Source organism: Homo sapiens, chromosome X, assembly GCF_000001405.40.
Source record: "Homo sapiens chromosome X, GRCh38.p14 Primary Assembly".
Classification (NCBI taxonomy): domain Eukaryota; kingdom Metazoa; phylum Chordata; class Mammalia; order Primates; family Hominidae; genus Homo; species Homo sapiens.
In genome coordinates, this window is record NC_000023.11 from 132,712,042 (window position 1) to 132,738,424 (window position 26,383).

At 41.6% G+C, this 26,383-nt stretch overlaps 1 protein-coding gene across 9 annotated transcripts in view, besides 1 other annotated feature; it reads right to left on the minus strand.

Annotated features, from left to right (window-relative positions):
• Positions 1-26,383, minus strand: part of HS6ST2 (heparan sulfate 6-O-sulfotransferase 2) — a 335,356-nt gene that overhangs the window by 86,027 nt on the left and 222,946 nt on the right. The window lies entirely within an intron of this gene.
• Positions 25,808-26,308: an enhancer, noted in NCBI's record as "H3K4me1 hESC enhancer chrX:131871877-131872377 (GRCh37/hg19 assembly coordinates)". NCBI's record gives its function as "activates a minimal SCP1, AML or CMV promoter by ChIP-STARR-seq in primed H9 embryonic stem cells {active_cell/tissue: H9 hESC(primed)}" and the evidence as "EXISTENCE:reporter gene assay evidence [ECO:0000049][PMID:30033119]".

The window sequence follows — 26,383 nt, forward strand, 5'->3', positions numbered from 1 at the left end:
GGGTCAGATTGCAAATCTGCAGCAGATAGTACACTCTATGATAAATAACTGCCTACCACTGTTCCAGAGCTGCCAAGCAAATGGTCCATTCAACCTCTCTGCTTTCTGACACTGAACTGGTGTGCTCACCCTCCCTTTAACTGCCACACCAAGAGCTGACGTGTTTTAGAATTTCCACGTTCTCCCATGTAGAATGCCCTTCCACCATCATTCTGGTCTTCACCTACTCTATTGCTGCTCAGAAACCCACCACTTCCTTTTGTATCTCAAGCCACCTTCCTCATTTGATCTCTGAAGGCCAAATACAGTAGTATATCCTAGCAAAAAATGCCTTATGTTAATACATGCTAAATTTTATTTCCCTAAATGGAAAGGGGTGTGGTGCCCCCAAAGTCCCAGGCTAAGGACTGTTGCTCAAACTGGTGGAGGTGAATGGAGGAGCCAGGCAAAGGGCCTGGGTGTTTCTTAAGGCCCTATGCAAAACAAGCTGCTGGTCTTTTTTACTTGCAAAGTGTTAAAATGCTTGACCTCAGCCTTTTGCTTATGCACAGTCCTGAGAGGTGGTGTGGGACCATGAAATAAGTCCATTAGTCACACAGACTGGAATCTGGTCCTAAAGCTCTTTCACTTACCAACTGCATGACACTGAAAAGGCAACTTAATCTCTCAGCCCTGATTTCCTCACCTAGAAAATGGGGACAAGGTGGGGCATGGTAGCTCACGCCTGTAATCCCAGCACTTTGGGAGGCGGAGCAGATGGATCACCTGAGGTCAGGAGTTCGAGATCAGCCTGGCCAACATGGAGAAACCTCGTCTCTACTAAAAATACAAAAATTAGCCTGGCGTGGTGGCAGGCGCCTGTATTCCCAGCTACAAAGGAGGCTGAGGCAGGAGAATCACTTGAACCCGGGAGGAGGAGGTTGCAGTAAGCCGAGATTATGCCACTGCACTGCAGCCTAGGTGACAGGGTGAGACTCTGTCTCAACAAAGCAAAACAAAACAAAAAAAACAGCAAAAAACAAAGTGGGGACAAGTATAATGCCTACACTGGTGATGATCACCATCTTTAACAACAGATATGGTATCGGAACTGACCAATCAGAAGAAAAGACAGCCCTATCAGAGGAGAAACCAACAGCAAACGACATGGGTAGGTAGGCCCATGTGTTTCAGTCTAGAAGGGTAGTTCCTAAAGTACTTGGGAGGATTAGATGTGATCATGCCTGTAAATCATGTAGCAGAATGTCAGGTCCACAGTCATCATACAATACGTTTTAGGCATTATTACTGTCACCTAGGGAGGAAGACCAATCAGAGAATTGTCTAGAGGCATAGTGAGTCTGCGGCAGGCCTGCCACACAGCTCGCAGCCCCCTGTACCTGAGCCATCTTGTTGCCCTGGGAAAGGAACCAGCTTTTCAAAAGCAGAGCTCAAAGACACGTGCAGTTAAAGGCCATGCGGAAAGTAACCACATCACTGATATGGGAGAGGGTTGTCCCCTGCATCTGTGTTCTACTGTTTGACCGCTCTTAATTCCTCCTTGTTCCATGCCAAGTCCACTGGAAATCATGCATACCTCATGAGAGGGAGCTCCTTATGTTTGGCATGAGAATACTGGAACCCAGAATATTCTTTCAAATATGTATTCTTTGAGTATTTGTTTTAACCTCCCAAGGAATAGCCTTTGGCACAACTGTGAAGTTCCCTGAGGTTGTCTTGACTGCTCTTTTCACAGTGTCTGCCCTCCCCCGAGATACTAAACCTGGTTTCCAGACCTACCCTCCCATCCTTTCGTTCCCTGCCAGCTGACAAGGATTCCAACCTGATCCTTGCTTTTGGGCAAGAGCATCTCAAGACTTCAGAGCCTTCTAGATCCAGAGGAATGATCCTATATTGGTTTGATCTCCAGTCCTATGACATTTAAACAGGACATATTTTTGATAGGGATGTGTCCTCATATCTTTCCACTTGTACTACCTTAAATGACACAATCCATAAACACGGAGCTATTCTAGCTATGTCAAAAACCCTTAGGTTCAGAGCCATTGGTCACTTATTCCCTAGAATGGACATTGCAGGAGAGAGAAAAATATAGCACAAGGTAACAGAAAGAGGCCTGGAATAGAAATAAAAAACTGATACCCCAATGCCAGCTCTGCCATTAACTGGCTGTGAAACCCTAGGCAACCCCATTCCCAAATGAAGATGGCTCCCCGTTTCCCTATCTCTACAGTGATGGTGTTGGACTAGCTGATTTCCCAAAGGTCCCTGTTCATGATAACATTTTTTTTTTAGAGGGAGTCTCCCTCTGTTGCCCAGGCTGTGCAGCGGCATGATCTCAGCTCACTGCAACCTCTGCCTCCCAGGATCAAGCGATTCTCCTGCCTCAGCCTCCTGAGTAGCTGGGACTACAGGTGCCTGCCACCACACCCGGCTAATTTTTTGTATTTTTAGTAGAGATAAGGTTTTGCCATATTGGCCAGGCTGGTCTGGTCTCAAACTCCTGACCTCAAGTTATCCACCTGCCTCAGCCTCCCAAAGTGTTGGGATTACAGGCATAAGCCACCGTGCCCGGCCAATAACATTCTAAGACTTTATAATGAATTTGACTCAATCAGGAACATTCCTATGAAGGATAGCCTGGGTTCTTACAAGCAGAGACTTAAACAAAAACACTCATGCATTTCTCTAGCAAACACTGGGGCCAAAGTCAGAGTAGATAAGTCTGTCTTCAGTGTGCCACTCTTCCCATCAAGTGCCCAGAGCCCCTGCCCCACACTGGCTCCTCAGGGAAGGACACATGGGCATGCCTGAGATTCTGGCTGGTGCCTAGCACACAAGTGAGGGATCAGGCTTAACTTGGACATAATGAGCGAATTTGAGGGGACCTACTGACGGCTTAGTGTGGTCACTCTCTGAGGTTATATTTGGACTGAGCCATAAACCTAAAGCAATGACTAATACAGGCAAATAAGCCCCTCTGTGCTGGCAAATCATTTCGGTACCATCCTACTGACAGCATAGAGTCACCTTCTACCCCAGGGTGCCTACCATATCTTGTTCGATTCAGAACTCAAGTGGCTGCTATAAATGACTGATATGGGAAGTTCTGGCAGAACACAGTGGCTCATGTCTGTATTCCCAACACTTTGGGAAGCCAAGGTGGGAGGAACTCTTGAGCCCAGGAGTTCAAGACCAACCTGGATAACATAGTGACACCCCATCTCTACAAAAAATACGAAAAATAGCTGGGCATGTTGTCATGTGCCTGTGGTCCCAGCTACTCTGGAGGCTGAGGCAGGAGGAGCGGCTTGAGCCCAGGAGTTCAAGGCTGCAGTGAGCCATGATCATGTCACTGCACTCCAGCTTGGGCAACAGAGTAACACTGTCTCTAAAACCAAAACAAAACAAAAGTTATTTCCGCAATCATAAATCACAAACTCGGGGATATGTCTTCTAGTGATCTTTTAGAGACCTCTAGTGTCACCCAACTCTTCCCTGACCCTGAGACTTTGAGAGGGCAGGGACTTGCCACAGATCACAGAGCACATCAATGCCAGAGACAAAACCAAGTCCATTTGTCCCTTTACTTGACAGCACATCATCCACCCTGTGTCCATCAGAGCCTGCCTAGGGGCAGCAGACAAGCAAGCACCTGCTCTCCCAGACTCAATCACACAACCCTTCAGAACAATTCACAGAGCAAGGGCTGCAAAAGATGGGGAAAACAACCATAAAAGACCCCAAGGATTTGAAATTCTTCTTTCTCAGTAGCTGTTAAGTTGTAAACACATTCTCCTATGCTTCTCTCCACATTTTGTTTTCTGCCTAAATGTGCTTTTACTACATCACATGGTAACAATCAGAGCTTCTTATATCTCTTTCATTTTGAGAAATAATGCCTTATACCTGGATCGTGTATTGCCAAAGCACCGACTGCATTTTGGAAACCAAGTGGATCTGATAGGGAACACTGCCAAACAGCCCTTTTCAAATAGTGTTTTATCTGTTGGCGATCCAGTCAATTCTCAGTTGCACATGTCTTGTCTAAGCTGTTTGTCTGTGGTCTGCAGTCCTTACAGAAACTGCCCCCTCCTCATCTCCTCTCTCACACCCCTGCCCAGCAGATTTTAGTAAAAATTTCCCATTTTGGCATCATAAGAGTGCCCTCTAGTGCTGATCTAATTAACAATCTAGACACTGAAGGATTCTTGTTTCCGTGGAAAACGGGTTTGTCTATAACTTGTCCTTGGCTATGGCAGGATACATTGTTTCTGAAAACATTACCACAGCACCTATTTGACAATTTAGTCTTTCAGAAAGCAGTGAAAAGGATGTTTTGCCATTGAACAAACAAAGTAAAACGAAATAAAACAAAATTGAAGGCCATAAAATAAAACCTGGCTTGTTTTCCCTTCTGAGAAGCCTTTCCACTCATGATGTGGGGGAGCTAGTTGAGTTATAAAAAAAATGTGCATAGGTACAGGCTGACTTCTTCAACTGAAACTTGACAATGATTTTCATATGTGTTTTGGAATTCTCCAAACGCAAGCACCTGTATTTGTATGGTAGGTTCCAGTGATGCATTTCAGTTTGATCATATACATACAGTATTTTTGACTTAAAGGAAAGAAAGAACGAATAAGGAATCTCTTAGAAATTTTCTGGGTATAACAGGGCCTGCTTTCTGTTAATAAAGGCCGAAAAGTTTCATTTACAAGGTAAGTATATATATGTGTACTGGGAGTTATTTTATCCCATTTCATTTCCATGTTTCAGATCGTTGGGTCTGGAAGGTCCACAAATGATGCTATTTCAGCACTGTTTCAAATCAGAAGGAAGGTTTTCATTGTATCTTTTACACAGCTTCGCAAGGGGCTGCTACTCTATGGAATCCAAAATATTTTATGCTGACACAGACCAAGGATGGCAAGCTGCCAACACAAGATATAACTGCTTCATTCACATTTTTACACATTTAAAACACAGAGAACGAAAAACTCCCTAACAAGTAATGATTTGGCTAGTGCTAAAATAAGGATCAAGATAATTCTCAGGGAATATTCCACCAAGTCACTAAAAGGATCAGACAATGGAGACACATGAAATGGTCCATTTGGATATATGTCACCTGCTTTCAGCAAAGGAGCTTAGGTCGCTGCTGAAGTCAAGGCATGGTGGGAACCACTGGATTTGGTCTGAAACTTCCTTTCAGCCAGCCCCAAATGAAAAGAGGCCATGTGCTAGAGTGAAGTGAGCACAAGCATAGGAGTTGATGGAACTATGTTCATATCCCAGCTCTCCTACTTTTCATTGGTCACTTCAAACCTGTTAGTCTAATTTTTCTCAATAAAACTGTGACTTCCTTGTGATCAATAATACCTAACAGGGCACAAACCAGGTGATTAATGAAACCTGCTGAATTTAATACAACCAACGGTTTTGATGAAAGATATGAAAACTACCCCCACATTGTCCAGATGTTTCCAAAGATCTGAGTGTCCGGGGTCAAGTACATGAAACATCTGGATAATTAACTTCATTGTCAAAAATCCATGAAAAAGGCTTTAAGCCATTGCTGTTCTTGTCCCCATGCACCTTGCTAGTAGTCTTTGTCACTGTGGCAAATCCACACATCCAGGGCTGTGCTTGAGACCCGTGGCTAAAGGATTCTTTCTGTTTGGCAGGTGTAATATTCATAACTGGATTAACACTGCTGCTCCCGATGGAGGTGCTACTTTTGAAATATCATGACCACTTCAACAGTTTTGTGGGCTGCAGACAACTGTCTACATGAAGGTGTAGCACCATTGTGAGCGCAAACTTGCTTTCCATGAGGAAACAGGTATCCTTTTATTGGAAGAGTCTCAGTTTCATGTCTTACCTGTAGTTTCAAAACCAGGACCAAAAAAATACCCAGTGCTTTTTCCCCAAGCATATAAAATATGGACCAAGTTTGCCAAACCATCTGGCACAGTACACAAAATATCTTTTCTAGAATTATTGGAAATTTTACCTAAATGACAAACAATAACAATCATACCATTAGCTAACATTTAATGAGTGCTTACTATATGCCAGATGCCACACACTATAGGAATTATCTCATTTCATCCTGAACAAAAGTCTATACTCATTGCCTAAATGAGAAAACTGAGGCTCAGACGGACTTGCATGATAAGTGGTAGAGTCTGGATTCAAATCCAGAGTTGTAGGGTGCTGGGACCAAGCTCATGAGCCACTCAGCTGTACTAACTGTATTTCATTTTGCCTTCACAGCAACCCTGTGAGGTAGGCGGCATTCTTCTCACTTTACAGGGAAGTCAGAGAGGCTCAAAGAGAAATTTGCTCAAGGTCATACAGTTAATAAGTGAAGGCGCTGAGATGGGAATATTCAATATTTCCTGTCTCCAAATCCTACGCCTTGTCTAATTCTAATGCATTGTGTACCATGCCTACACAAGGCACTAATGTGGAGAGGGATCACTGTATATAATCTCTCTGGGCATATCACACCTCCACTGAGAGCTGGGGACTGCATCCTACTTACTGTACAAGGCTGCAGCACACTCTGAAGTGCTTCCTGTTTGCCTCTCTTTAGGCCTCTCATGGGACTATTTTTCATTTTGAATTCCAGAATTCAAGTGCTTGGCTATGAGTGCCAAGCACTTGAATACACAAGGAACAGAGGTAGTAGCTCATTTGAAGATGAAAACCTGGTATAAATCTTCACCATAGCTATGCTGCTCCCCTAGGACATAAATCAGGTAGCAGTGGATAGGCCAGGGACCCACAGGGAAAGAGAAGTTGGCAGACAGATCAGGTCTCTCTCTCTCTCTCTCTCTCTTTGAAGCAGTGGGGGGTGAGGTGCTCCTTGCTATTATACCTATATTTCTTATCTATAGGAAAATGCAATCAAATTACATATAGACAGAATCCAAAATGTCCAAGCCAAGTTAACCAAGGGGGGGAAGAAACTGGAAGAAGCTAGAGTATGTGACTCATTCCAGCAGGGCCCATGTAACTACAATGGTAAGAAGGGCAATGTCGCCTTGGGAAAGAGTTGTGCTTGCCAAATGATCAGGGCCATCCTCTAGCACAGTGAACCAGGCCATTCAGAATTTGACCTTGACATCGTTTAGAAACCTATCAAAGTTGGAAGGTACCCTTAAAGACCATCAAGCCCAAACTCTGCATTTTATAGGTCCTGAGAGAGAAAGGGACTCAACCAAGGTCACACAGTCATAACAGGGTCAAAACCATCTCTCAGACCTTGTGAATTCCAGTTCAGGAATCTTAAAAGTACCAAGGTCCCTCTACAATAAAATGAACGCAGCAATCTATGCTAGAGAGATAGGAGGAAAAAGGTGAGTTGAGAGCCAGTGGCGGAGATCCAGGCATGAGGACTGGACATTGTTTAATTAGAAGAATAGCCCCTGTAGGATGCTCTTTCCTATCTCCTTTTACACGTGAGGAAATCAAGGCTCAGAGGTGAAGGCCTTGGACAAGGTCATGCATCTAAGACATAAAGAATGGGACTTGCAGGTTGATCTGACTCCAAAGCCTATGTGCTTTTCACACTAGCAATGTTTTGGCCCCTTCGTTTCTCTGTGGCTATCTCCCAATTAGAAATGATGCCCCTTCAAGTTACAAGTGAGTTTTCACATGTCCATTTTTTTGCAATTGTAAGGAACATTGAATGAGCCCTCATCTGCAAACCCAGATCTGACAAAGCCTTGGCTGATGCCTGATTCTCACTTCCCAGGAATAACTTTGGACTGCTCTTGTCTTCAGGATCCAAGGAAAACAGGCAGAAAGCCATCAGAATAGCTTGTCAACTCCTTCGTAACCACAGAGGGCTTTATAATCTCCCCACAGAAACTGCTGTACCACCTAAGGTTGCTGGGGCTGCCTGTCTGACTGTGACATCCAAGCTACTCTCTAGCTGGGATGATGCTGTGGGAGTTTCTTCCTGCCTAAGGGCAAAGGATACAGCTGCAGTCTGCATCCAACACTAGGCAGTACTTGCCTCCACACACAGCCCCACCATGGTTTCCCTGTAGCCATGGTGTCTCTTCTTTCAGAAAAGCTGATAGACACTGAAGTAGTGGGGACGGCCCCTGGAGTAGGAAGAAGAATTCAGAACTGCTTATTTGAAGTTGAACTTGCTGAATTGCTAATTGTATAAGTGGCACATCATTAGACTGCTTGCTCATTCCTCCTCATGAAAATGTGGACACCCCATATATCCTACAGGCAGTGCAGAAATCATCAGGCAGCTGGGTTTGTGTAAATCGAATCCTAGTTTCCCACTGACATACATTCTGATCAATCTCCAACTGCCCAACAGTTGGCAGTTGCCCTTCATACTCTGCCTTTAAGCTACTCTGCCCCTAGCCCCTCATCAAGTAGGTAATGATCTGGAAACTCACATGAATTGCTGCTGAAAGGAAAGCCCAATTTAAAGGGATCTTTCCAAAACAACCAGAAAATAAATAACAAAATGGAAGGAGTAAGTCCTTACTCATCAATAATAACATTGAATATAAATGGACTAAACTCTTCAATCAAAAGACATAGAGTGGCTGAGTTTATTTAAAAAAAAAATGACCCAATGATTTGTTGCCTACAAGAAACACATTGCACTTATAAAGACACAAATAGACTGAAAATAAAGGGATGGAAAAAGATATTCCATGCCAATGGAAACCAAAAAAAAAAAAGAGTAGGACTAGCTATACTTGTATCAGACAAAATAGATTTCAAGACAAAAACAATAAGAAGAGAAAAAGAAGGTCACTATATAATGATAAAGGGGTCAATTCAGAAAGAGGATATAATAATTTTAAATATATATGCACCCAACACTGGAGCACCTAGATATATAAAGCAAATACCATTAGAGTGAAAGAGAGAGATAGGTCCCAATACGATAATAATCAGAGATTCCAACACCCACTTTCAGCATTGGATCTATCTTCCAGACAGAAAACCAAGAAAGAGACACCAGACTTAATCTGCACTATAGACTAAATGGATCTAATAGATACTTACAGAACATTTCATCCAATGGCTGCAGAATACACTTTATTTTCCTCAGCACATGGATCATTCTCAAGGATAGACCATATGTTAGGTCAGAAAACCAGCCATAAAACATTTTAAAAGCCTGAAATAGTATCAAGCATCTTTTCTGTCTGCAATGGAATAAAGCTAGAAATAAAAAATGAGAAGAATTTGGGGAACTACAAAAATATATAAAAACTAAACAATATGCTCATGAATGAAGAGTGGATAATGAAGAAATTAAGAAGGAATTGAAAAACGTCTTGAAACAAATGATAGTAGAAGCACAACATCCCAAAGCCTATGGGATACAGTAAAAGCAGTACTAAGAGATAAGTTTATAGCTATAAGTGCCTACATCAAAAAAGAGGAAAAACCTGTCTTCAAAGGGAATGATCTAACTTCTTGCCATTTGGGGTGACTGTTGTAAGCTTTCATTAGATTCTGCTTATCAGGTTAAGAAAGTTCATTTTAATTTTTATTTGCTAAGAGTTCTTCAAAATCATGAATTATTTTGGAATAATAAAAATTCATTTCCCCCATCCATTGAAATATTTATTTCTTTCCTTTTGCTGAAGTGGTTGAATTATACTAATTAGGTTTTCTAGTGTGAACCCAACTGAAATTGGACTCAATGCATTATTTATTTTATATATTGCTGGTTCAATTTAATAATAATTGATGTAGGTACTTTTAAATTTATGTTTTAAAATAAATATGGCTTATTACCCTTCTTGCAAAAAAGAGGAAAAACTTCAAATAAGCAACCTAACAATGCATCTTAAAGAACCAGAGAAACGGCCGGGCGCGGTGGCTCACGCCTGTAATCCTAGCACTTTGGGAGGCCGAGACGGGCGGATCACGAGGTCAGGAGATCGAGACCATCTTGGCTAACACGGTGAAACCCCGTTTCTACTAAAAATACAAAAAATTAGCCGGGCGTGTTGGCGGGCGCCTGTAGTCCCAGCTACTTGGGAGGCTGAGGCAGGAGAATGGCATGAACCTGGGAGGCGGAGCTTGCAATGAGTGGAGATCGCGCCACTGCACTCCAACCTGGGAGACACAGCGAGACTCCGTCTCAAAAAAAAAAAAAAAAAAAAAAGAACCAGAGAAACAAGAGCAAACCAAACCCAAAACAGTAGAAGAAAAGAAATAACGAAGATCAGAGCAGAAATAAATGCAATGTAAATGAAGAAAACAATACAAAAGATCAGTGAAACAAAAAGTTGGTTTATAAGACTATTTTGTGATGCATGAAATAATTTACTATTGCAAAGTTGGGGTTTTTAAGGACAGTTAAAAGCTTTCAGGTATGCCAAAATAATGTTGAAAACTTTTCATGATTAAAGAAAGTCACAATATGCATTAAAAAAGGGATCAGGTAATTTTTAAAATAAATCCATGCTCTAAATGTTATTTAAAAGTTTTCAGGTTGTTCCCCAGAATGTTTTTGAAAAACAGGTGTTTTTGTAAAACAACTCTATGGAGAAATGTTAACATTTTCATAATAAAACTAATAGAGTCCAGTCCTGAGAACAATGCCAGATATACATAGTAGAAAAAGACCACAAATATTTTTGAATACATGAAATAGTATTTTCCATTAGGTTTAGGTCCCAATTATGAATTAGGAACAGTCATGTCATTTGATAAAATATACAGTGAGGCTAAAGGAAAGAATGCTTTGTAGAATCATTGTGCTGTGAAGGTGATTGAGATTTCAAATATTCAAACATATAGGTGTATTAAAATAAAATTATGTTAAAAATAAAAAAACAAAAAAAAAAAAACAAAAAGCAAACAAAAAAACCAAAAAGTTGGTTTTTCTTACTAAGGGAAAAGAGAAAAGATCCAAATAAATAAAAAATCAGAAATGAAAAAGGAGACATTCCAACTGATAGTGGAAAAATTCAAAGGATCATTAGTGGCCAGTATGAGCAAGTATATGCCAAAAAATTGGAAAATCCAGAAGAAATGGACAAATTCCTAGACACATACAACCTACCAAGACTGAACCATGAGGAAATCCTAAACCTGAACAGACCAATAGCAAGTCATGAGATCAAAGCTGTAATAAAAGACTCCTAGTAAAGAAAAGCCCTGGACCTCATGGCCTCACTGCTGAATTCTACCAAACATTTAAAGAAGAGCTAATACCAATCCTACTCAAACTATTCTGGGAAATAGAGGAAGAGGGAATACTTCCAAACTCATTCTACCAGGCCAGTATTACCCTGATACCAAAACCAAAGACACATCAAAAAAAGAAAACTACAGGCCAATATCGCTAATGAATATTGATGCAGAAATCCTCAACAAAACACTAGCAAACTGAATTCAACAATATATTAAAAAGATCATTCATCATGACCAAGTGAGAAATATCCTGTGGATGCTAGAATGGTTCAACATACACAAATCAACCAATGTGATACATCGTATCAGCAGAATGAAGGACAAAAACTATATGATCATTTCAATTAACGCTGAAAACACATCTCATAAAATTCAATCTCTCCATGATAAAAACCCTCAAAAAACTGGGTATACAAGGAACATAGCTCAACATAATAAAAGCTATGTATGACAGAGCCACAGCTAGTATCATACTAAATGAGGAAAAATTGAAAGTCTTTCCCCTAAGATCTGGAACATGACAAGGATGCCTGCTGTCACCACTGTTAACCAATATAGTACTGAAAGTCCTAGCTAGCATAATCAGACAAGAGAATGAAACTTGTAGTTTTGGCCAAGCACAGTGGCTCATGCCTGTAATCCCAGCACTTTGGGAGGCCGAGGCAGGCGGATCACAAGGTCAGGAGATTGAGACCATCCTGGTTAACACAGTGAAACCCCATCTCTACTAAAAATACAAAAAAAAAATTAGCCAGGTGTGGTGGCGGGCGCCTGTAGCCCCAGCTACTTGGGAGGCTGAGGCAGGAGAATGGCGTGAACCTGGGATCACGCGTGGCTGCGGCTGAGATCGTGCCACTGCACTCCAGCCTGGTGACAAAGCAAGACTCCATTTCAAAAAGAAAAGAAAAGAAAAGAAAAGAAAAGAAAAGAAAGAAACAAATGATGGCATCCAAATTGAAAAAGAAGAAATCAAATTGGCCTTGTTTGCAGATGATATGATCTTATATTGGTAAAACCTAAAGACTCCACCAAAAAACTATTAGAACTGGTAAACAAATTCAGTAAAATTGCAATTACAAAATCAACATACAAAAATCAGTAGCATTTCTATATGCCAACAGCGAACAATCTAAAAAAGAAATTTAAAAAGTAATCCCATTTACAATAGCCACAAATATAATCAAATATCTAGGAATCAACTTAGTCAAAGAAAAAGATCTCTATAAAAAAACTATGAAACACTGATGAAGGAAATTGAAGAGGACACCAAAAAATGGAAAGATATTCCATGTCCCTGGATTGGAAGAATCAGTATTGTTAAAACGTCCATACTACCAAAGCAATCTACAGATTTGATGCAATCCCTATCAAAATAACAGTGATATCCTTCACAGAAATAGCAAAAAAATCATCCTAAAATTTCTACGGAACCACAAAAGACCCAGAATAGCCAAAACTATCCTAAGCAAAAAGAACAAAACTGGAGGAATCACACTACTTGATTTCAAGTTATACTACAGAGCTATAGCAACCAAAACAGCATGGCACTGGCATAAAAACAGACAGGTCAATGGAACAGAATAGAGGACCCCAACACAAATCCATACATGGACATTGAACTGATTTTTGATAAAATTGCCAAGAACATACACTGGGGAAAAGACAGTCCTTTCAATAAGTGGTGCTGGAAAACCTGAATATCCATATGCAAAAGAATGAAACTAGACCCCTATTTCTTGCCATATGAAAATCAAATCAAAATAGATTAAAGACTTAAATCTAAGACATCAAACTCTAAAACTACTACAAGAAAACATTAGGGAAAGTTTCCAGGACATTTGTTTGGGCAAAGATTTCTTGAGCAATACCCTACACGCACAGGCAACCAAAGCAAAATGGACAAATGGGCTCACATCAAGTTAAAAAGCTTCTGCAGAGCAAAGGATATAATAAATAAAGTGAAGAGAGAAATAATATAATATAATAATATAATAAAGTGAAGGGAAAATATTTTTAAACTACTGACATTACAAGTGATTAATAAACATAATACATAAGGAGCTCAAACAAGTTTACAGAAAAATCTAATAATCTGATTAAGCAATGGGCAAAAGATTTAAACAGACATTTCTCAAAAGAAGACATGCAAATGGCAAACAGGTATATGAAAAGGTGCTCAACATCACTGATTATCAGAGAAATAAAAACTACAATAAGATCTCATCTCACCCCAGTTAAAATGGCTTATATCTAAAAGACAGGCAATAACAAATGCTGGCAAGAATGTGGAGAAAAGAGAACCCTCATACACTGCCGATGGGAATGTAAATTAGTATGACTGCCATGGAGAACAGTTTGGAGGTTCCTCAAAAACTAAAAATAGAGCTACCATATGATCCAGCAATTCCACTGCTGAGTATATATGCAAGAGAAAGGAAATCAGTATATGGAAAAGATATCTGCACTCCCATGTTTGTTGCAGCACTGTTCACAATAGCTAAAATCTGGAAGCAACCTAAGGTGTCCATCAACAGATGGATGGATAAAGAAAATGTGGTACTTATATACAATGGAGTACTATTCAGCCATAAAAAAGAATGAGACCGTGTCATTGCAACAAATGGGTGGAACTGGGCCATTATGCTAAGGGAAATAAGCCAGGCATAGAAGAACAAACATCACATGTTCTCACTTATTTGTGGGATCTAAAAATCAAAACAATTGAACTCATAAAGATAGAAAGTGGAGGGATAGTTACCAGAGGATGGGAAGGGTAGTGGAGGGGGGTAGGGGGAAGGTGGGGATGGTTAATGAATACAAAAATAGAAAGAATGAATAAGACCTAGTATTTGATATCTCAACAACACGGTGACTATAGTCAATAATAATTTAATTGTACCCTTTAAAATAACTAGGTGTGTAATCAGGCTGTTTGTAACACAAAGGATAAATACTTGAGGGGATGGATACCCCATTTTCCATGATGTGATTATTATGCATTGCATGCCTATGCCAAAACATCTCAAGTACCCCAGAAATATATACACCTACTATGTACCCACAAAAAATTAAAATTAAAAATGAAAAAATAATAAAAAATAAAAAGTAAAGGAATCTTTTCCTAGAGAAACCCTTTGAATCTAGCCAGGCAGTTATTTTATATTTTAGATGAAGATCTCTCCCAAAACACAGTCACACTTGTTTTTGATTCAAATTGTATTCTTTACTTTTCTGACATTTATCTAAATTTCTAACAGCTTTATGAAGGTATAACTCACATACCATGCAATTCATCCAATTAAAGTATACAATGGGTTTTAGTATATTCACAGACATGTGCAACCATCACCACCAGTCCATTTCTGAACATCTTCAGTCACCTCCAAAGAAACCCTGTACCCTTTAGCTGTCCCTGGCCTATCTGGCTATTCCTTCCAGCCCCTACTACCAGTCATCTACTTTCCATCTCAGTGGATTTTCCTATTCTGGACATTTCAAATAAATGTAATCATATAACAGTGACCTTTTGTATCTGGCTTTTTTTTCACTCACATAATGTTTTCAAGGTTCATCCATATTGTAGCATTTATCAGTACTTCATTCCATTTCATGGCCTGGATAATGTTCCATTTTATAGATATCCACAATTTTTTTTTAAAGTAAAATGCATCTAATCAGTCTCATCCCCTTATTAAAGCTGAGATCTCTCTCTTACTCTTTTTGAATCTCCATAGGCCAAATCTCCTATTTTTCTACATCCTGTCCAATTTTTATATCTCATTTTTGAAAAAAGTGTTTTTAGTGAATAGTAATGAAACGCTAATCAAAACCCCAATATGACTCTTTATGGAACTTAAGTTTACTTTAAGGTTCATTTGAAATAAATAACCTTAAAAAAAAACTAAAACTAAAACAATCTCATCCCCACTCACTTGACAAATCCATAGATCTGTTCTGAGCACCAGCTGTGGTAGAACTATTACTAGCATTATTGGGGGGGGGGGCATAGAGATGAATAAAGAGGAGTCACAAACATATTCATTCATTCATTCAGCAAACATCTATTGTCTCCTATGTGCTGGGAATGGTGCTTAGGCGCTTGGAATTCAAGGGTGAATAAGACATGGTCCCTGCTTTCCATGAGCCTACAGTGAAGACAGCAATATGGGAAACCATATATGATATCTCCATACATGATAATAGTTATATACTCAATAGTATATAACTATTGAGTGTCTACGAGTTATTGGAAGCCCATTTCCCACTCTGGAAGAGTTCACGGCCCAGGCTTGGGTTCCTTATTCCACACACATTCATAAGAGAAACTAGCTCGAAAGAGGGTAGCAGCCACGGATTCAGGTGTTTTGTTTTGTTTTGTTGTTCATTTGTTTTGAATTTTTTATTGAGGAGAAATTCATGTAACACAAAATGAACCATTTTAAAGTGTGTAATTCAGTGGAATTTAGTACATGTTGTGCAGCTGTCACCTCTATCTAGTTCATCACCCTAGAAGAAAACCTTGTACCCATTAAGTAAAGTAGTCACTCTCCCTTCCACCCTCCCCTCAGCTCCTGGCAATCATCTGTTTTCTGTCTCTATGGATTTGTCTATTGTGGATTATTCATATAAATGGAATCATACAGTATGTGGTCTTTTTTGTCTGGCTTCTTTCACTTAGGGCATCAAGTTTCTGAGGTTCATGCATGTTGTAGCATGTACCAATCATCATGTCAGTCTTTTTTACAGCTAAACAATATTCCATTGTATGAACACAGCACGTTTTGTTTATCCATTCATCCACTGATGGGCATTGGGGTTGTTTTCATTTTTTCACTATCATGATTAATGCTGCTATGAATGTTAATGTACAAGTTTCTATGTGAACATGTGTTTTCATTTCTCTTAGATATATACCTAAGAGTAGAATTGCCGGATCATATAATACTCTAACTTTCTGAGAAACTGCCAAAGTGTTTTCCATAGCAGCTGCAACATTTTACATTCCCACCAGCAATGGACAAGGGTTCCGGTTTCTCCCAGGGATTCAGTTTTATTTCTTACTTTCAGAGAAGAGTTCCACTAAATTGGAAACACTCAATTAGCCCAAATGATTGACCCTAACGGTGGGCTTTTGAGTCTGGGCCTCTTAATTAATGCCTAGGCTGGTGGGAGAAACAAAACAAATAAGGACAAGGCAGCGGGTGTGGGAGCCTCCCCTCCTCCACAGCTCTGAGAGTACTTCTGCGCATGCTCACAGCCTAACGCGGGCATGTTGGCAAGATGGCTGTGGAATTGTCCCCTGACCCACATAGATGGGATTCACAGCATCAGGCCCAGCAGAAGGCTGAGGAGAGAACATTCTCGGCTATAAGAGCCAAGCCTAGGAAAACCCAGGAGGTGATTTTATAAAAGGAATAACATGAAATCAATAATGACTCTGGCAATAAGGGAAAGAAGAGCACGGCCTTCTTTATTAAACAAGAAATTGGAGGAAGCTTCAATGGGTTGTGAAGGCACTTAGATCCCATGGTATTCAACACTGGCTCCTGTCCCTTGGAATGAAAGTTCGACATAAATCTAGGAAATAAATAATGATGATGAATGTCTAGCTCTAAAGATGACGACATAGAAGTATATCACTGAAACTTGCCCTTATGGCCCATCTCTCTGCTTCAGTGATCAGACAGCTCAACAAATATTGAATCCCCTCCACCTTCAGCCTGTATCACTCCCTGGGCAGGTCAGTCCCATTGTGAAGTGGCATTAAATCTTTCAAGTCATTCAGTGGCATTTTCATGTGCTAAGACTGTCACTGTCAAGATGACATGCCAGTCACTGTCCAGGAAGAGCTGAGGCACAATGCCAAAGGACCCTCCTCAAAGCCCAAGAGTTTGCATCCTTAGGGGAGAAAAATCCGAGTGATAGGATCTCAATCAGCTTCCAAATCCTTATATCTTCAGTAACCTAAGATTAAGGTGGGTGAATTTCAAACACTTTTAGAAGCAGACTCCTTTTTTCAAATAAAATCTTCCAGGATCTCCATTATATAAAATAGAAAAACTGAGCTGCTTTAAATAAAGAGGGGATACAGTGAAGGGGGAGGGAGTGAGAGAAGAGCTGCCATTCATTGCCCAGCAGGATGGGCACTGTACATCTCCAGGGAGTGCAATTCAGGTAGAGAAGCAGTTCTCAAAGTGTGGTATAAAGACACTGGTGGTCCCCAGAATCATTCAGGGAGTCCGTAAGGGCCTCTCTTTTCCAAATATATGTCTGTGTGAGGCTGGATTTTCTTCATATACTTCAACCGAAACAACATATCACAACAGATCAAATGTAGAAGCTGATATGAGAATCCATGTATCATCTATGGAGCCAGATATCAAAGACATTTGCAAAATATAAAACAATGCCACTCAGTTATTTTTTTTTACTTTGGAAATAGGTTATTTTTAATAAAAATATGTTAATATGCAATAGGTACTATTGTTCTTTTAAATGGATTAATACATATTTTTGAAAATTTCTCAGTTTTAAATTCTAATGCAGTCAATATCAATAGATAAATCCCACATGAACCAAAGCTCTTTGAGGTCCTCAGTCATTTTTAAGAGTATAAAGGAGTCCTGAGATGGAAAAGTTTGAGAACTGGTGACATAGACTATGATGTGAATGGCAGTTTGTTCTTGAGGCTCTAGGTGGTCAGTTAGAGGGTCTGGGTTCTGCCTGCTCAGCCTCCTCTTCCACCTTCCATACCCCTGAGGCAGCCCTCAGGGTGCCTCCTCAGAACCCTGAGAGTCCAAGTTTGAAAATAATTGATTGAGTCCAGCCTCCTCATTTTAGAGACCAAGAAACTTAAGGAAGCTGAGAATTTTGGATCTGCAAGTCAAGAAGAGCAGAAGAGCTGGGGTTACATCCAAGTCTTCTTCAGGGAGCTTCTCTTCCCTTACACTGCGCTGCCACTACAATAACACAGCAGCTATCATTTGTTGCAGTCTCCTCTGTGCTCAGAAGCTGTGCTAAGAAGCACTACGCCCTGTGCGTTCCAGACTGAGCCACCCGCTCAGTGCCTCCTGGTTTCCACTCAGCAAGCACATTTGGCCTGTAATGCTCCATGTTTGCTAAAGCGACAAGGAAAGAAAAGCAGGCAACAGGCTGCCCTCCCTCCTCTACCATATCCATGTCTGAATCAAGCCGGCTCTGGCCTTCTCAGTGCAAGGAATTTAACCTGGCATCAGCTTCCCGAGAACATCTTGATAAGCAGCATGCAACCCACCAGAGAGGGATTTTCGAAAAGCCAGGAATCAATTAATTTAATCAGGTTCCTGCATAGTTCAAGAAAAGCCCACGTGGGCAACAACTGGGAGGTTAAGAGCAGCGTCATGGCGGCTTGCCACATTGTGACTCCACAGAGTGTTTCTTTGTGCCTCCTGCCCTCTGCACAGCTCCCATCCTGTGAAATCACTCTGCTCGGAAGGGGTGAGCTGAAAATGCAGTTGAGCTAATCCCTGTGCCACCAGAATACAGCAGCAGGACACACAGTTCCTGAAAAGGCCCCTAAAATTGCCCATTCGTCTTCCAGAATGGCAGAGCTGGGAAGGCCCACAGAGACTGGCCAGCCAGGGAACTAAGCTAGAAGTACACATCAGAGTGACCTGGGAAGCCATTGAAACACACAGACCTGCAGAGCCCTGCCCCAGGGGAAGCCCTGCTTTAGTTAGCTGGGGATGGACTCTGTGTGTGTGTGTACATATATACACACTCCTGGTGGGTACCAATGAAAACCCAACACCCTCTCCTCATCCTACAGATGGGGAACAGAGATAGAGGGCAAGAGATTTACTTTAGGATACACAGAGAGTTCAAGAAACAGCTGGGATGAGAACCCAGATATCCTGACTCTCATGCTCCCATGCTCAACTGAGGGGAACTGACTCTCATGCTCAACTGAGGGGAAAACTAGTGTATGCATGCATGTGTGTATGTCAAGGAGTGGAGGAAGGTGAGGGAGCATTCAGAAATAACGAAGCCACTTTTATTTGATTCATCCTCTTCATTTCACATTCTCTCCCTTTTCTTCCAATGTAATCACTGACTGGGTCCAAGCCTCATAGTTTATAGATGAAGAGCCTGAGGGCCAGAGTGGAGATGGGAGTTGCTCTGGATCCAATTTAGGACCCAGATCTCTGTGCTTTCTTGCCTGTGTTCCTTCTACTACATTTTGACCCCTAAGATACATCCCGAGAGAAATATATTATCATAGACGGTATTTCATTATTATTCCTCCTACCAAGAGGCAAATCTTGTTAGAAGCCAGCACACTCAGGCCAGGCGCAGTGGCTCACGCCTATAATCCCAGCACTTTGGGAAGCCAAGGTGGGCGGATCACGAGGTCAGGAGATCGAGACCATCCTGGCTAACACGGTGAAACCCCGTCTCTACTAAAAATACAAAAAATTAGCTGAGTGTGGTGGCGGGCACCTGTAGTCCCAGCTACTCGGGAGGCTGAGGCAGGAGAATGGTGTGAACCTGGGAGGCGGAGCTTGCAGTGAGTGGAGATCGCGCCACTGCACTCCAGCCTGGGTGACAGAGTGAGACTCCGTCTCAGAAGAAAAGGAAAAAAAAAAGGAAATTGGGGAAGCCAGCACACTCCGTGGTTCTATAGCATCAGCCTGCCCTGGGAGCTACTCTGACTGCTTTTTTTCCAATCTAAACTCATATTTCAGGGCCGCCCTGGAAATATTGGTAAAGCCAGCACTGCTAATACAGGCAAACGATGGCAATCCTAAAGGGTAGTGTTGCACTGAAATAAATTATTTGCATAGGTGGGATTTCTCTTTTAATTTTACTATGTTAAGGTTACAAATTGTTTTCTGGCCTTTACGTATAATTAAATATAGATGCTCTTGGAGCTTAATGTCAGTTTAAATTTTAGTCTTTGGAAAGTAATTTGTTTGCACGTTCAATGAACAAACCATTTCTTATTGGTTTCAAAGACCCAGGCTCATGCATCATGAATCAAGGTTGCCTTTATCAAAGCTAAAAAGGTCAGGCAAAGTAGGCTTCTAACTCCAGTTTAGCCACCCCCTACAAGAGAAAAATCAAGGTTTTGGTTCTCTGTCTTAAGTACACATATGACTTAGTTTCGTTAGGCATAGGAATAATAATACAAATGATTCATCTGTTCCCTCTCCACACACACAAAACCAGTTAAATACTGCTTGATACCGTTTGGCCGTGTTCCCATCCAAATCTCACCTTGAATTGTAATAATCCCCACTTGTCAAAGGCGAGGCCAGGTGGAGATAATTGAATCATGGGGCTGGTTTCCCCTATGCTGTTGTTGTGGTGGTAAGTCTCACTAGATTTGATGGTTTTATAAATGGGAGTTCCTCTGCACAAGCTCTCTTACCTGCTGCCATGTAATATGTGACTTTGCTTCTCCTTTACCTTCTGCCATGATTGTGAGGGCTCCCCAGCCATGTGGAACTGTGAGTCCATTAAATGTCTTTCCTTTATAAATTACCCAGTCTCGGCTATGTCTTTATTAGCAGCATGAAAATGAGCTAATATGCTGCTCATTATGCTACCAAGGATCAAACCATTGGGAGGGCTTTGAACTATTCCTCTGCTCTCTGGGCCTCAGTTTCCTCATATTACATTTAAAGAGATCTCTGAAGTTCTTTCAGCTCTGATAATCTAAGGTAACTAGACATAGAAAGGCTATCCCTAGCAGTGATTTTAAATGACACTGGTTTGTCTTAAAAAGCAGTTTGTAAGGCTTGAAGTGTTTTAGGCCAAGCAATCACCAAGGACATTAGAGCCATGAGTTCTTAGGCAACCTTCTTCCTCTACCTTTCCTCCCTTTGTCCTCTACTCTCAGAAAGATGTCAGCTGTCTCTGTCCCTTTCTCAATGGCTCCAAGGATATTCCCACTCCTTTAGACAGCCCTGCAGTTCCAGAAATCTCTTCCTCTCATGCATTTTCCAATCTCTTAGGGTTCCCCTACTAAATGTGCATGTACACTAGGGCTCATAAGGAGTTATTTGCTCATTGACAATACATGACCAAGATATATTGTTAAGTGAAAATAAGAACAGGCTATTAAACAGGATATCTAGTATGATACTATTCCCCCTACCCAAACCTCACAAGTAAACCAATCAGCCACTCTTTCTGGACATGGCTTAAGTCTAGACTAGCTACGGGTCTCTTTTGCTTGCCTCTCAAAGTTAACAAAGCAGAATTTTGGAAGTACCTCACAAGTACTTACTAATGAGCTCTCTGTTTTATCTTTCTTTGAGCTAATCTGAGGTATTAACATTTGCAGAAACTCTCTTTTTCAAAAGATGTTGAAACTCTACTTCAATTTGAATTCCTTACATAGTTAAGACCATAGGATTCAGAACAGCAAAAAGCTTTAGAGTCTAAATGTTCCATATTAGAAAGATAAGATTTAACAGTAAGCATGGAAAGGTCTAGAAGAGTGTTAGCAGTAGATCTGGAACTGAGGTGATCTCATGTAGAGTCCATCTGATGCTAAGTGTTTTATGCTATTTTCTCATGTGATTCTAACAACCATTCCTTTACATAAGGTATTTTCATTTCATTTTACAGATGAAGCACAGAGATTAAGCTACTTACCCACGATCAAAGCTAGCAAATGGTAGAGATGAGTGGAGACTTGAACTTAGTCATTTCTTTCTAAAGTCTATGAACTTTACCTATATTTTAGGGTCATGTGAAGTAAAAAAAAAAGCAACAGTCTAGGAATCTTAGACTTGAGTTCTAGTCTCAGCTTAACTACTAATCCTCTGACTCCCTGAGACAATGAAAACTCCATACTAGATCACCTCTTAGGTTACTGGCAGCTCTCAAATTTCTTTATTCTTAATAGAATCAAGAAAACTTGCAATTAATATGCAGACGGCAGAGAAAGGATGGTGACGGAATAGCTCAAGATGACAGTGATGTTTCTATCTTGGACAAAAAAGTGGCACTTCATTAACAAAACGGGAAGGCATGATGATGAGTTTGGTTTCTGATTGGTGGGTCTAGAAGGTTGGCAACACATACTTATAGGAATGTCCATGAGGTCTTTAAGAAATCTAAGAAATCCCAGTTAGAGAGAGGGAGAAAGAAGACCTAGCAACGAAGAAAAGCAGGAAAAAAAATCACAGAAATAACATATCAATCAAGCCAAGACAAGATAGCATTTTAAAATGGGAGGTGAAATAAAGTGGTCAGAGTTGGTGAAAACTAGGTGAGAGAGCCAAGTCACTCCCACTTGTGAACTCTCACAGCCTTTTCCCCTCTCTGAAGATATGCATTTCCCCACATGGGCTCCCAAGGTAAGGGTGAATCTCCCCCTTCCTTTAGATTCCTGGTTGTAATAGGCACTCAGTGTTCTTCCACCGAATTGAATTGCACTGGGCTGACTGGTTTCAATCACCATAGCCTTACAGGCTGTCTCTTTACAAGCAAAGCCAACAGGCTTCCCGAAAAACAGAAAGGCAGGAGCAAACAGCTACAAACCAAAGCACCATCTTTAGGAAAAGAAAATGCCATGTTGGCCCTTTCAGCCAAACCTGCATAGGCCTGGATACCGTCTTTAGCTGTGTCATCTATGAATGAGAACAGAAAGAGCAATGACAGAGAGATCTGCAAAGATACAGTATGTGACTAGAGATCAGTACAGCTACAATGGGATGTGTCTTTTCCAGAAAGAAAGTTGGTGGGGAGATGGGGATGGGGGGTGGTGGCTGGTGGTGTGTGTGAGAAGAGGCCTAGAGAAATATGAGAATAACAAAAATTAAATAAATAAAAAGGCAGTTTCATTGTCATTTCAATTTGGGAAACCAAATTGTATTGTTTTCTTGATTTTTCAAACACACTTGAAAGATGTAAACACAAGAGCAAAAACATAATGAAGTCTTGTCAATATTCTGAATCAGTTGTCAACGGAGCCATCCCTCAAACACAGCTGTCATTTGGTGCTCCAGCTTCCTGGGAAAGAGGCTTGTACGTGCCCAGAATCATCATTGTCACACTGATGGGGGATGGTATCAAGGCAGCCCAAGTAAGGCAGGCTAGGATGCGGGCTCCATAGGCAAGATGCATGTTTCAGAGCCTTTTGGGCAAAAGCTCCAGGATCTAGAAGGTCAAAGCAGGTGTCAAAAACGTGTAAAGATTCCAAGAAATTCCAAGGAAAAAAGCACGCAAGACACCAGGTGGGAAAACCGACCCGTGACAAAAAATTCAGGCAGTTAATCATGCCTGTGGGGTCAGGAAGGTTGCAAAGGTCTGAGTAGGCCAGTAATCTGAAATAAAGGTGTGTGAGGAAAGTTCCTGGTGTCAATCACTACAGCTTAAACAGGAAGGCTGGTCTCAAGGCTTTCTCCAGTTCTGCTTTCTCTGGATGCCCACATGGAGCTGGGATATAGCTGGGCTTTGGCCCGAGGACGCCACAGAGAAAGAACTGTTGGAGCTGGAGACCCAGGGCCTTGTGACTTTTCCTGATATCAGGATTGAGCACTATTCATCTTCTCCCTTAAAGAAAGAGGAATTTTGCAGCACTGCAACTGTGTGCTTTTATTTATTTATTTATTTATTTTTTTGAGTTGGAGTTTCACTCTGTTACCCAGAGTGGAGTGCAGTAATGCGATCCTGGCTCACTACAAACTCCACCTCCTGGGTTCAAGTGATTGTCCTGCCTCAGCCTCCTGAGTAGCTGGGATTACATGCCATGCGTGCACCACCAGGCCCGGCTAATTTTTGTATTTTTAGTAGAGACGGGGTTTCACCATGTTGTCCAGGCTGGTCTCGAACTCCTGACCTCAAGTGATCCACCCGCCTCGGCCTCCCAAAGTGCTGGGATTACAGGTGTGAGCTACCGTGCCCGGACAACTGCAACTGTGTTCTAAGCAACCAGACATTATAGTGAAGGCCACATAGGGCCTCAGTTTCCCTTTCTGTAAAACAGGTAAAGGGGTAAGAATTATACAAGAGTATCATTGAAAGCATCTGACTCCAAGTTTGACTGATTTAATCAAAGGTCTTAAGAATAGCCCTCTTAACACTAGGTCTGATACTCAAAGTCTCCTGAGTGTCCCATCAAAGGAATGAAAACACACACATATAGCTTCTGTTAGTTTGCACAATTTTTCCTCTTTTCTTTTAGGTTTAACGTCTTTTAAGTACTCTCTATTCTAGATTGCTTAGCCTATGAATTGATCATTTGCAATACTCTTAAACACAGGTAGCTTGTCTTTCTAATGATATGGTGTAAGTTTCAGGGTCTCTGCCAGGGGTGGTATGTAGTAGCGCAGAGTGACTCCAGTAGGGTGACAGCTCAGGATGGCAGCAGGGTTCATTGTGAATCACCTCCCATCTTACAAAAGTGATCATGCTGTATATTCTTATGCATATGCATTGCCCACCATGATACTATGCATGAGGTAGTCACACCGTTGATATTGCTGAATGAGAGAATGAATAAATATATACATGAATGAATGATCAAACACACCTAAGATGGAAGGGTGGTATCAGGTGATGGGCCTGAGTATCTTATATAAATACGAGATTCCTCCTTGCCCCTCTTGAAAAGAAACCTCAATGCAGACCATTTTCTTTGTGAAAGGAACAAAGTGGACCCATATGCCCACATTGGTAGGGAATTAAAAAGATAGAAAAGAATTGAGTTTATAAGAATATTGGTAGGAACAAGACACTTGGGTCATCCCATGAAGGCAATTTCAGTTTGGACCAAAAGAGGACAAACCTGAATTCACAGAATGAATGCTTGAGCTGTAAGGTACCACTGAGCTCATCTGACTTAACGATCTCATTTTACACATGGAGACCCTGAGGCTCAGAAGGGAGGTACCACTTGACATAGATCACATAGCTCGACCCTGTGGGGAGTCGAGCAAAAAAATCTTAGACTGAGAATAACCTGGGCTTTGGGAACCTGGACAAACTGAAGAACATAGTGAAAAATGGCTTCAAACCTAGTCTTCATATCAATGTATGGACCTGAGAGTCCCTTCGTGGTAACTCACTTGGCCCCTTACGTATCCTAACATCTGCTAGACAACAGTTTCTGGTGCTCTTGGGAAGGGATGTGCACTGCTGTCATGAGAACTTACTGGGCAAGATTGGGCTAATGGAGTGGGACAACAGTTAGCAGCTGGATGGAAGCAGACACGCACAAAGCTTTTGGTATTTCCATTCGTTCCCACTGGGGCCCTCCCTTTATCTTCTAGTTCCTCCCACCTTTAGCAACACGGTGGGGAGAGATGGTCAGGAACTATGGCAGGAGTCTACCCCTGCAAGCCCATCTGCCAGAATAAATTCAGCTTAAATACCAGTTTGACTAACTTTCTAATGGAATCAACTAATTGTTTCTTTGAATCATTTCACTGAATTTCTCAGGTCCATTCCGGGAAAACAGTCAAACCAGCGGAAGGGGCAAGCATAGGTGTTTGGCATTTCTCTAGTTAGAACATACCCTGCCCCCACTAGGGCAAGAATGAAGGCTCCAAAGCCAGGGCAGGCAAGTGCCCGCTGCAGCAGCTGGCAGATTAGGCGTGGGAGGGCTGGTGTGACTTCCTGCTGAGTTCTGAGACTGAGTTCCTGGAAGTAGGTGCCTCTGCACCAGAGAAGACGCCTGCAGGGTTTGATCAGGACCTCATGGTGTTGGCTCCCGTGGCCAGTGCCCATCCTGTTCTCAAACCCACTGAGCTGTTTCTGTTCTCTGCCAACCCTTGGGTCTAGGCCAGAGCAGGTTTCTGACCTAGTCCTGACCTGAACCGGCAGCCCTCAGTGAGTCACCTCCCTCTTAGAGCTCTCACTGCACTTGGAAGAGTCAGCCTATCCTGTCTTTTCTGGCTTGTTCTTCCTTTCCTGTGTATTTCTCTTGCCACCTCTGTGAGAAGGAAAACTCTACTGTGTCTTCCTTGCCCTTCTTCATAGTCCCTGGAATGGGATGTGGACCATCCGTGTACAGGGATAACCAGTAATGGACTGAATCTCAGCTTCCTTTGCCTAACTCACAGATAGCATCCCAAGGTCATAGAAAGTTGTCTTCCTGCCTGTTGCTTTCCCATGACATTGACAAATCCGAGTGGGTCTGTGACTAGACCTTGCAGTGGAAGTGTACAAATGCTTTCCCAAGGCGGGA